The following is a 12531-nucleotide window of genomic DNA, read 5'->3' on the forward strand; positions in this document are numbered from 1 at the left end:
AAAAATAAATTCCTGTTGTTTGAGCCACCCAGACTATGGTATTTTGTTATGGCAGCTTGAGGAGACTGACAGTTGGAGGCTTTAAAACCCCTCTGTGAGTAATATCACAAGTACAGGAGGCAGAAAACCAGTATGGACAGAGTTGAACTGAACAACACTGTCTTAGTTTGTGTTGCTATAAAGGAATGTGTGGGGCTGGGTAATTTACAAAGAAAAGACGTTTATTTGGCTCACATTTCTGCAGACTGTAGAAGCATGGCATCAGCATCTGCTTCTTTTTTTTTTGACACAGAGTCTTGCGCTGTCGCCAAGGCAGGAGTACAGTGGTGTGATCTCGACTCACTGAAACCTCCACCTCCTGGGTTCAAGCAATTCTCCTGCCTCAGCCTCCCAAGTAGCTGGGATTACAGGCACACGCCACCACACCTGGCTAATTTTTATATTTTTAGTAGAGATGGAGTTTCGCCATGGGTGGTCCCAAACTCCTGATCGCAGGTGATCCACCTACCGCAGCCTCCTAAAGTGCTGGGATTATAGATGTGAGCCACTGTGCCCAGCCAGCATCTGCTTCCATGAGGACCTCAGGCTGCTTCCACTCATGGCAGAAGGCAAAGGGGAGCAGGCATTGCATGGTGAGAGGAAGGGAGAGAAGGGAGCTAGGTGCCAGGCTCTTTTTAACAATCAGTTTTCCCAGAAACTATTAGAGTCAGAACTCCTTACCATGAGGATGGCACCAAGCCATTGATGAGGGATCCACCCCCATGACCCAGACACTCCCACTAGGCCCCACCTCCAGCACTAGGGATCAAATTTCAACATGGAATTTGGAGGGGACAGGTATCCAAACTATATTAAACACCATCAGTCTACTAGATCTAATTGACACCTATAGAATACTTCATACCCTGCATATAGCAGAATTTACATTATTCTCATGCTCGTATAGAATATTCACCAAGATAGGCCACATTCTGGGCCATAAAATGCAGCTTAACAAATTTAAAACAATGGAAATCAAAGTATGCTGTCACATCAAAATGTAATTAAATGAGAAATCAATAACAGAAAGAGAGCTGGAAACTCCAAAAATACATGGAGATTAAACAATACACCTATAGGCTGGGCATGGTGGCTCACACCTGTAATCCTTAGCACTTTGGGAGGCTGAGCAGGCAGATTGCCTGAGTTCAGGAGTTTGAGACCAGCCTGGACAACACAGTGAAACCCTGTCTACTAAAATACAAAAAAAAATTAGCTGGGTGTGGCGGTGTGCACCTGTAGTCCCAGCTACTTGGGAGGCTGAGCAGCAGAATTGCTTGAACCTGGGAGGCAGAGGTTGCAATGAGCCAAGATTGCACCACTGCACTCCAGCCTGGGCAACAGAGCAAGAGTCTGTCTAAAAAAATATATATATATATATACATATATATATATATATACACCTACAAACAATACATGGTTTAAGGAAGAAGTCTCAAGCAATATTGTAAGCTAAATGAAAATATAACCTATTAAAATGTGTGGGATTCAGAGAAAACAGTGTTTTGAGGGAAATTTGTAGTATTGAATATATAGAAAAGAAGAAAGACTAAAATCAGTAATATAAGCTTCCACCTAGGAAACTAGGAAAGAATAGCAAAGAACAAAATAAGCAGGAGAAAAGAAATAATAAAAATTAGAGCATAAATTAATGAAACAAACAAGGAAATCAACAGAGAAACCAGAAGCTGGTTATCTGAAATAAATCAATAAAATTGATGAACTTCTAGCCAGGTTAACTAAGAAAAAGAGACAAGGTACAAATCACCAATACCAGTATACCAACAATGAATCATTGCCCCTTGATATATAAAAACATAGTACTACTAACATTAGCACCAAAAAATGGAACACTTTGGTATTCCAAAGTATTCATTTAAGATCTGTATGAGGAAAACTACAAAACTCTGATGAAATAAATCAAATAGGCTGGGCGTGGTGACTCATGCCTGTAATCCCAGCACTTTCGGAGTCTGAGGCGGGCAGGTCACCTGAAGTCAAGAGTTGGAAACCAGCCTGGCCAACATGATGAAACGCCGTCTCTACTAAATATACAAAAATTAGCCGGGCATGGTGGCAGGCGCTTGTAATCCCAGCTACTTGGGAGGCTGAGGCAGGAGAATCGCTTGAATCCAGGAGGTGGAAGTTGCAGTGAGCCGAGATTGCACCACTGCACTCCAGCCTGGGCAACAAGAGCAAAACTCTGTCTCAAAAAAAAAAAAAGAAAATAAATAAACCAAATAAAATCTATTAACTGGAGAGATATTCCATGTTCATAGATAGGAAGACTCAATATATTCAAGATGTCAGTTCCTCCAGCTTGGTCTATAGATTCAATGTAATTCCAGTCAAAATCTCAGCAAGTTATTTTGTGGGTATCAACAAACTGATTCTAAAGTTTATATGGAAAAGCAAGAGACCTAAAATAGCCAACACAGTATTGAAGGAAAATAAATTTGGGAAAGTGACACCACTGGCTTAAAGACTTACTATAAAGCTACAGTTATCAAGACAGTGTGGCATTGCCAAAAGGACAGGCAAATAGATCAGTGGACAAGAATTGAGAGCTGAGAAACAGACCCACGTGAATATAGTCAACTAATCTTTGACAAAGGAGCAAATCCAATTCAGTGGAGAAAGGCTTTTCAATAAATGTTTCTGGCATAACTGGACATCCACATGCAAACAAATAAAAAAGAACCTAGACATAGTCCTTGCATCTTTTACAAAAACTAGCACAAGCCACAGACTACGTGAAAATCTTTACAGGATACATATCTAATAAAAGACTGGTATCCAAAGTATACAAATAATTCTTAAAACTCAACAGTAAGAAAACTCAATTTTAAAATGTGCAGCCAGGTACAGTGGCTCGCACCTGTAATCCTAGTACTTTGAGAGGTCAAGATGGGAGGAAAACTTCAGGCCAGGAGTTCAAGACCAGCCTGAGCAACATAGGGAGACCCCCATCTTTACTAAAAATAAAAAAATTAGCAAGGTGTGGTGGTGCATGCCTGTAGTCCCAGCTACTCTGGACTGAGGTGGGAGAAGCATTTGAGCCCAGGAATTTGAGGTTGCCATGAGCTATAATTGCCACTGCACTCCAGCCTGGGCAACAGAGCAAAACCCTATCTCAAAAAAATAAATAAAAATGGTCAAAAGATCTGAACAGATACCTCACCAAAGAAGATGTACAGTTGGAAAATAAGCATATGACAAAGATGCTCAACATCGTATGTCATTAGGGAATTGCTAATTAAAACAACAATAAGATACCACCACACACCTATTAGAATGGCTAAAGTTCAAAACATCAACAAGACTAAATGATGAAGATGTGGAGCAACTGGAATTCTCATTTATTGCTGGTGGATATGCAAAATGGTACAGCCACCTACTATAGAAGAAAATTTGGCAGTTTCTTTAAAAAAACCAAGCATACTCTTACCATATAATCCATCAATCATTCTCCTTGGTATTCACTGAAATCAGTTGGAAACTATGTCCACACAAAACCTGCACATGAATATTTATAGCAGCTTTATTCATACTGGCCAAAACTTGGAAGCAACTAAGATGTCCTTCAGTAGGTGAATGGATAACCAAACCACAGTGCATCCATAAAAAGGAATATTATTCAGCAATAAAAATAAATTAGTTAGCAGGACATGAGAAAACATGGAGGAGACTTACATGTGTTGGGGTGAAGGGAAAGCTTCCCCTTCGCCCTCGAAAGATTCGCTGAAAAAATCAACTCAGCATAAAGCAGATTAATAAAAGGCAAGCCGGGTGAGGTGGCTTACGCCTGTAATCCCAGCACTTTGGGAGGCCGAGGTGGGCGGATCACCTGATGTCGGGAGTTCGAGACCAGCCTGACCAACATGGAGAAACCCCGTCTCTACTAAAAATTCAAAATTAGTCGGGCATGGTGGCGCATGCCTGTAATCCCAGCTATTCAGGAGGCTGAGGCAGGAGAATTGCTTGAACCTGGGAGGCAGAGGTTGCGGTGAGCCAAGATCGCGCCATTGCACTCCAGCCTGGGCAATAAGAGTGAAACTCCATCTCAAAAAATAAAATAAAATAAATAAATAAATAAAAATAAAGGAAAAGCATACAAATTTATTTAACCATGCATGTGGAGAGAATCACAGAGTGATTACCCAATATCCCAGTGGGGCCCAAAGACTTACATAACCTCATGCCAAAAGGGAGGTGGGGATAGGGAGTATGGGTAATTCTGTTGAGGGGCAGTAAATGATTACTAGAGAGAATGAGTGGATACTTAGGGGGATGAATAGATAGGGGAACAGAGACTGATTTGTAATTGGTTCTCTCTGGAAAATGAATGAGCCTGAGAGACAGACATTATTTTGTAAAAAGGTTGGGCCAAGTCTGGTTACATTCTTGATCATCATTCCTGCAATAGACAATGAAATAACATGGCAGGAAAAAACCATTGTTCTTCTTGGTGGATCTGTCAGGTCTTTGTGTAGCTAGGAGAAAAGTCTCTTCCAAGTCCTATCGATCTATAAGGACTTTTAATTCAAAATGCTTATTATGCCAAGGAGTCATATTTTGGGGTGGAATTCCTTGCACTTTTTAAAATGCAGATTGCTAAGTGAAAGAAGCTATTCTGAAAAAGTATGATTTCTGTATGATTCCAACCATCTGACAATGCAAAAAGCAAAACTATGGAGATGGTAGTGGTTGCCAAGGATTGCGGGGAGGGAGGCGTGAAGAGTTAGAGTATGGGAGACTTTTAGGGCAGTGAAACTACACTGTAGGATACTGTAATGGTGGACACCATTGTCAAAACCCATAGAACTGTACAACATAAAGAGTGAACCCTAATGAACTATGGACTGTCATTACTAATAATGTATCAATATTGATGTATCAATTGTAACAAATGTCCCACATGAATGCCAGATGTTAGTAGGAAGGGAAACTGTGTGTTTGGAAGGGGCTATTTGGGGACTCTCTGTTCTTTCCAGCTGATTTCTCTGTAATCCTGAAGCTGCTCTAAAAAAAATAAAGTCTATTATTTTTTTAAATGAAAAAACTTTGAACTATAAGATTATTTAATATGAACACACCTAAAATTTATGTTTGCATCAGAAAATCAAGGTTGTTGTAAATATTAGTTAACACTTCCATGTGACCCATAAGGAAAGGGCTAACTTGAATTATTTTTAATGAAATATTAAATTTATTATGCCATCATTAATTCAGTGGGGGAAAATGGATATGACACCTAGTTGCAGCTTATTTTTTTTTTTTTTGAGACAGAGTCTCTCTCTGTCGCCCAGGCTGGAGTGCAGTGGCGCGATCTCAGCTCACTGCAACCTCCACCTTCCAGGTTCAAGTGATTCTCCTGCCTCAGCCTCCTCAGTAGTTGGGATTACAGGCATGCACCACCATGTGCAGCTAATTTTTTTTCTTTTTTTCTTTTTTTTTTTTGTATTTTTAGTAGAAACGGGGTTTCACCATGTTAGCCAGGATGGTATCGATCTCCTGACCTCGTGATCCACCCACCTCAGCCTCCCAAAGTGCTGGGATTACAGGCGTGAGCCACCGCGCCTGGCCATGTCCAGCTAATTTTTGTATTTTTAGTAGAGACAGGGTTTCACCATGTTGGTCAGGCTGGTCTCAAACTCTTGACCTCAGGTGACCCACCTGCCTCAGCCTCCCAAAGTGCTGGGATTACAGGCGGGAGCCACTGTGTCTGGCCTAGTTGCAGCTTTTAAGTCATAAACCAAAAATAAAATACTAAGCCCCCCAACCAGCTGGATGAAACCTCCTCTTGGCCAACTGGATTCCAAAGTAAACCTGAAAAACTAGTTTAGGCCATGATGGGAAGCAGAGATCTTATGACCGATGAAACAGACTCTTTGTAGCAATAAGATACGAGATTCCAACCTGAATCTAGTATAGCATCACATGACAGCAGGCCTGGACAGAAACTTAAGTATTTTACCCCAAAATATATTTCTTTGACATATTTTGAAGTGGCCCTGCAAAGCTGTCTCCTGTGGGGTAATTTATATTCTGTAGAGAATCCCCTTCCCTTTCCAGGTCTTTTTCTGATCCTGAACAGATGAACCGAGAGTCTGGCCTTTTAAAAGATCTGAATAGGAAACATGTTGCCTCTAAGGGTGACTAGACTCTTTATGGGCTTCCCTTTGCAAAACATCAGTCAGGGTAACTGATGGAAGTAAACTCCAGGTTGGCTGAAGAGCAATAGACATCTATTTGGGCAAGAAAGACAATATTCTGTTATGAAAATTAAAGAGGCTGGGTTTTCTTCTTTCTCAAGAAGGCCACTTATTTCTAAGCAGAGATATAGGTGTTTGTCCAGTCAGCTGGACAAATTCAAGTTTGGGATAAGACTCTAGAGATTTCTGCACCATCCAGCATGGAAGATGTGAAGTCAGACATAAACGGGCCTAGGAGAGATGGTGGCAGTGGGGTGTGTTGCAGAAACCAGGCTATTACTCCCAGTGGGCCTGGCTCTGAATAGCATTGCCTCCTGCTGGGCCTAATGATGGAATCATTGTTTTCACGATCTGGTGCCTTAGCTAAGGAAACACACTCAAAGATACTCTGCAATGTCTACTTGGAGAACTCAACTACGTTCTCTTTTTTTTTGAGATGGAATTTCGCTTTTATTGCCCAAGCTGGAGTGCAATGGCACGGTCTCAGTTCCCAGGTTCAAGTGATTCTCCTGCCTCAGCCTCCCAAGTAGCTGGGACTACAGGCGCATACCACCACGCCCAGCTAATTTTTTGTATTTTTAGTAGAAATGGGGTTTCACCATGTTAGCCAGACTGGACTTGAACTCCTGACCTCAAGCGATCTGCCCGCCTCGGCCTGTCAAAGTGCTGGGATTACAGGCGTGAGCCACTGCACCGGCCTCAGCAATGTTCTCTAAACCCACTCCCCAGACCTACATTTGAAACCCAGATCCCCCTGGCTTCAGTCACAAACCTGAAGGAGGAAATCTCCACACCACAGCCTGGGACTGAACTCATCATCCCCGTCTGATCCACAGTAAGCTGCTCTTTCAGACTCCTCATCTATTTCCATGGTTCTGCCAGTCTCCTGGGCATTGCCAACCTGCCCACTGTCCTCTCCTTTTCCTACCCAAGGTAACTTTCCTTTGGTCAGTTACCAAAGCAGATAGGCTTTCCCCAATACATTTTCCATTTGTCTCTTCCTTTCTCTGCCTCCAGTCTGTTGTGTTTTCAGTTCCTGAGCACCTGCCTTTGTTAGCTTAATCTCCCTAAACAGTGCCCGATGGAGCAATGAGAACATAAATTAACACACATTTAATGCTTACAGGTGCCAGGCACACTATTGCATATTTCCAAATTTTTCTCATCTAATCCTCATGATGGCCTATGAAATAACTATTACTGTCCCCATTAGGCAGATGAATAAGTGGAGCCAAAGACAAAAACCACATGATTATCTCAATACATGCAGAAAAGGCCTTCGACAAAATTCAACAGCCCTTCATGCTAAAAACTCTCAATAAACTAGGTATTGATGGGACGTATCTCAAAATAATAAGTTATTTATGACAAACCCACAGCCAGTATCATACTGAATGGGCAAAAACTGGAAGCATTCCCATTGAAAACTGGCATAAGACAGGGATGCCCTCTCTCACTACTCCTATTCAAAATAGTGTTGGAAGTTCTGGCCAGGGCAATCAGTCAGGAGAAAGAAATAAAGGGTATTCAATTAGGAAAAGAGGAAGTCAAATTGTCCCTGTTTGCAAATGACATGATTGTATATCTAGAAAACCCATCGTCTCAGCCCAAAATCTCCTCAAGCTGATAAGCAACTTCAGCAAAGTCTCAGGATACAAAATCAATGTACAAAAATCACAAGCATTCTTATACACCAATAACAGACAAACAGAGAGCCAAATCACGAGTGAACTCCCATTCACAATTGCTTCAAAGAGAATAAAATACCTAGGAATCCAACTTACAAGGGATGCGAAGGACCTCTTCAAAGAGAACTACAAACCACTGCTCAATGAAATAAAAGAGGATACAAACAAATGGAAGAACATTCCATGCTCATGGGTACGAAGAATCAATATCGTGAAAATGGCCATACTGCTCAAGGTAATTTATAGATTCAATGCCATCCCCATCAAGCTACCAATGACTTTCTTCACAGAATTGGAAAAAACTACTGTAAAGTTCATATGGAACCAAAAAAGAGCCCGCATCACCAAGTCAATCCTAAGCCAAAAGAACAAAGCTGGAGGCATCACGCTACCTGATTTCAAACTATACTACAAGGCTACAGTAACCAAAACAGCCTGATACTGGTACCAAAACAGAGATATAGACCAATGGAACAGAACAGAGCCCTCAGAAATAATGCCGCGTATCTACAACTATCTGATCTTTGACAAACCTGACAAAAGCAAGCAATGGGGAAAGGATTCCCTATTTAATAAATGGTGCTGGGAAAACTGGCTAGCCATATGTAGAAAGCTGAAACTGGATCCCTTCCTTACACCTTATACAAAAATTAATTCAAGATGGATTAAAGACTTACATGTTAGACCTAAAACCATAAAAACCCTAGAAGAAAACCTAGGCAATACCATTCAGGACACAGGCATGGGCAAGGACTTCATGTCTAAAACACCAAAAGCAATGGCAACAAAAGCCAAAATTGACAAATGGGATCTAATTAAACTAAAGAGCTTCTGCACAGCAAAAGAAACTACCATCAGAGTGAACAGGCAACCTACAGAATGGGAGAAAATTTTTGCAACCTACTCATCTGACAAAGGGCTAATATCCAGAATCTACAATGAACTCAAACAAATTTACAAGAAAAAAACAAACAACCCCATCAAAAAGTGGGCAAAGGATATGAACAGACACTTCTCAAAAGAAGACATTTATGCAGCCAAAAAACACATGAAAAAATGCTCATCATCACTGGCCATCAGAGAAATGCAAATCAAAACCACAATGAGATACCATCTCACACCAGTTAGAATGGCAATCATTAAAAAGTCATGAAACAACAGGTGTTGGAGAGGATGTGGAGAAATAGGAACACTTTTACACTGTTGGTGGGACTGTAAACTAGTTCAACCATTGTGGAAGTCAGTGTGGCGATTCCTCAGGGATCTAGAATTAGAAATACCATTTGACCCAGCCATCCCATTACTGGGTATATACCTGAAGGATTATAAATCATGCTGCTATAAAGACACATGTACACGTATGTTTATAGCGGCACTATTCACAATAGCAAAGACTTGGAACCAACCTAAATGTCCAACAACGATAGTCTGGATTAAGAAAATGTGGCACATATACACCATGGAATACTATGCAGCCATAAAAAATGATGAGATCATGTCCTTTGTAGGGACATGGATGAAATTGGAAACCATCATTCTCAGCAAACTATCCCAAGGACAAAAAACCAAACACCACATGTTCTCACTCATAGGTGGGAATTGAACAATGAGAACACATGGACACAGGAAGGGGAGCATCACACACCAGGAATGTTGTGGGGTTGGGGGAGGGGGGACGGGGGAGGGATAGCATTAGGAGATATACCTAATGCTAAATGACGAGTTAATGGGTGCAGCACACCAACATGGCACATGTGTACATATGTAACAAACCTGCACGTTGTGCACATGTACCCTAAAACTTAAAGTATAATAATAATAAAATAAAAAAGATATATAGATATATATAAATTTATCTATCTATATATAGATATAGATAGAGATATATATAGAGATAGATATATAAAATATTTTATAGTATTGAGTGCTTGATTTTCATAGTAAAGAACCACATTAATACTGATGCTCAATCTGTCTCAGATGTCATAACTGAAGGTTCAAAAAAACTGACCCTGTAACATCCCAAACACTGAAATCATAGACTATGCTAGTTGTATTTTCAGTTTGGAAGATAAATACATAATTCTAGAAATCAAAATTTAAAATCAGAACTTCATACCTTGTGCAAGCATGTTAAATTCCAAGAACGGTGCTGTGTGGTAAAGTTCCATGGCTTTTCCTGCCCTGGTCATGTTTGGCTTCCCTGCGACGAGAGCCTGAACTTCACTGAGACTCCCCACAGAGGGGCTACAGTGCCAAACAGAGAGGTCCACCGCGTCGGTATACATACAGTGTAATATCACTTTTGCATATTTTTGTGGTATAATGGACTCATCTAATATAATTCTTGTGGGAGTCCTCAAAGTTCCATCTGTGATTTCTTCAACAGTTGGTATTCTCCTTTGTAATAAATTTTGAAAAAATGGGGACCGTGCAGAAATAACAGCCTTGTGGGCTTTGAGCTCTTCATCTAAACAGTTCTGATGTCCACCAAAAGCTTCAACCAGTTCAGAGTCTGAAGAAAAGCTAAGGACGACATCGTAATAACACATGTAATCAAAGAGTCCACGCATATCTACATCAAGGGAATTCTTCACTAAGCTGAACAAGGATAACGACATTTTGAAACCCTGAGTCTTCCATTCCAAACTCTCCTGTATAAAGATAGTATAACAAAGCAGAAAACATGGGCATATCAATACCAGCTGTATTGATGTCCATTATTATCTCTGCCCCATACTCAGGTGAGGAAGAAAGCATTTAAAAAATGGACACCTTGCTGCCAAAATGGCACGATGAACAGGATAACAAGTTTCTTGAAATATGAAATCTGTATCAGTACGATACTTGTACTCATAAAGATCAGCCATATCTTTCTGCAATGTCCGGGCTTCCGGTCTAGCCAAACTGGCTTGTAGGGAAAGCTTCTTTAATGCTGACCTTCCCTCATATTCCTCCGCTAATGCATTGACATCTCTAATATCCCACCCAGAGAGGAGTTCTCGCATCTGCTTGGCATGATCGGCAGACCTATCAGATTTTCGAGGCTTAATTAAGTTCTTTTTGAAGGTAGCAGGGCCAGAGGTCTTTTTTTTTTTTTTTTTTTTTTTTTTTTTTTGAGACAGTCTGGCTTTGTCGCCCAGGCTGGAGTGCAGTGGCTCGATCTCGGCTCACTGCAAGCTCTGCCTCCCAGGTTCCCGCCATTCTCCTGCCTCAGCCTCCCGAGTAGCTGGGACTACAGGCGCCCGCCACCACGCCCGGCTAATTTTTTGTATTTTTTAGTAGAGACAGGGTTTCACCATATTAGCCAGGATGGTCTCGATCTCCTGACGTCGTGATCCGCCCGTCTCGGCCTCCCAAAGTGCTGGGATTACAGGCGTGAGCCACCGTGCCCGGCCTCTTTTTTTTGTCTTGTGGTTTCTCATGGCCATGGTCAAGGCTATACAATTTTGATTCACAACCATAGCCTTGCTGAGAATAGGATGACGTCCCTATAAAAGTCTGTTGGGCCTGTGAATTTCCCCCTACCTTCGCGGAACATGGATGAGGATAATGAGATGCATTAGCACCCATTTTCTTCAGTCATTCAGGCATTCCGTCTGCGGGTTCTTCAGAGTATAATCCTAGAGGCCATTAGGAACCTTCAACCCTGGATCCAGCAGCCTCTTTCCATCTATTTCTATGAGAACAGGGCCATTAGACCTTACTTTAGTGCATACTATTGAAGTATGAAAGGCTGTGGGCAGCCAGACACACGGACAGTGCATTCTGTAAGAACCACACAGCAAGCATCCTCAAGTGTTTACTATACAGTCTGCCCTTCGTATTCCGTAGGTTCCTCATCCACAGTTCAATCGACCTGGAGGCTCCTCCCGCCGCCGCTGCTGCTGCTGCCGCAGGGACCTCGGCCGTCGCCCCCGCCGCCTCCGCCACCAGCACCGCGGCAGGCACCGGCGCCAGCACACCGCCGCCATCCTCCTCCCACCGCCGCCGCCGCCCTCTCCTCTCCTGTCAGTGGCTCAGGCTCCGGGACTGCTCCAGTTTTCCCTCGCCGCCATTTTGATTCCTAGAGGGAGCAGGAAGGGCTCGGCTTGGACTTTTTGTGTTTTTTTTTGTTTTTTGTTTTTTTGAGGCGGAGTTTTGCTCTTGTTGCCTAGGCTGGAGTGCAGTGGCCGATCTCGGCCCACTGCAACCTCCGTCTTCCGGGTTCAAGCGATTCTACTGCCTCAGCCTCCCGCGTAGCTGGGATTACAAGCATGCGCCAATACTTCCGGTTCATTTTTGCATTTTTTTTAGTAGAGATGAGGTTTCACCATGTTGGCCAGACTGGTCTCGAACTCCTGACCTCAGGTGATCTGCCAGCTTCGGCCTCCCAAAGTCCTGGGATTACAGACATGAGCCACCGTGCCCGGCCCACTTTTAATACATTAAAGGGGTCTGTGATAAACATCCTCCTACCGCCCAAAAAAGGTTAAGGACCACTGCAATATGGGCTGTTTGCTTTAGATTTCATTTTAGATAGATGTTGATAACTGTCAGAGCTGTTCTTTTTTGGCCTTCGTTTGTATTCTAAGGAGAGTCCAGGCCTC

At 42.2% G+C, this 12531-nt stretch overlaps 1 pseudogene; it reads right to left on the reverse strand.

Annotated features, from left to right (window-relative positions):
- BTBD7P1 (BTB domain containing 7 pseudogene 1) lies at positions 10062-11622 on the reverse strand (annotated as a pseudogene).

This window comes from Homo sapiens, chromosome 10 (assembly GCF_000001405.40).
Source record: "Homo sapiens chromosome 10, GRCh38.p14 Primary Assembly".
Taxonomy (NCBI): Eukaryota; Metazoa; Chordata; class Mammalia; order Primates; family Hominidae; genus Homo; species Homo sapiens.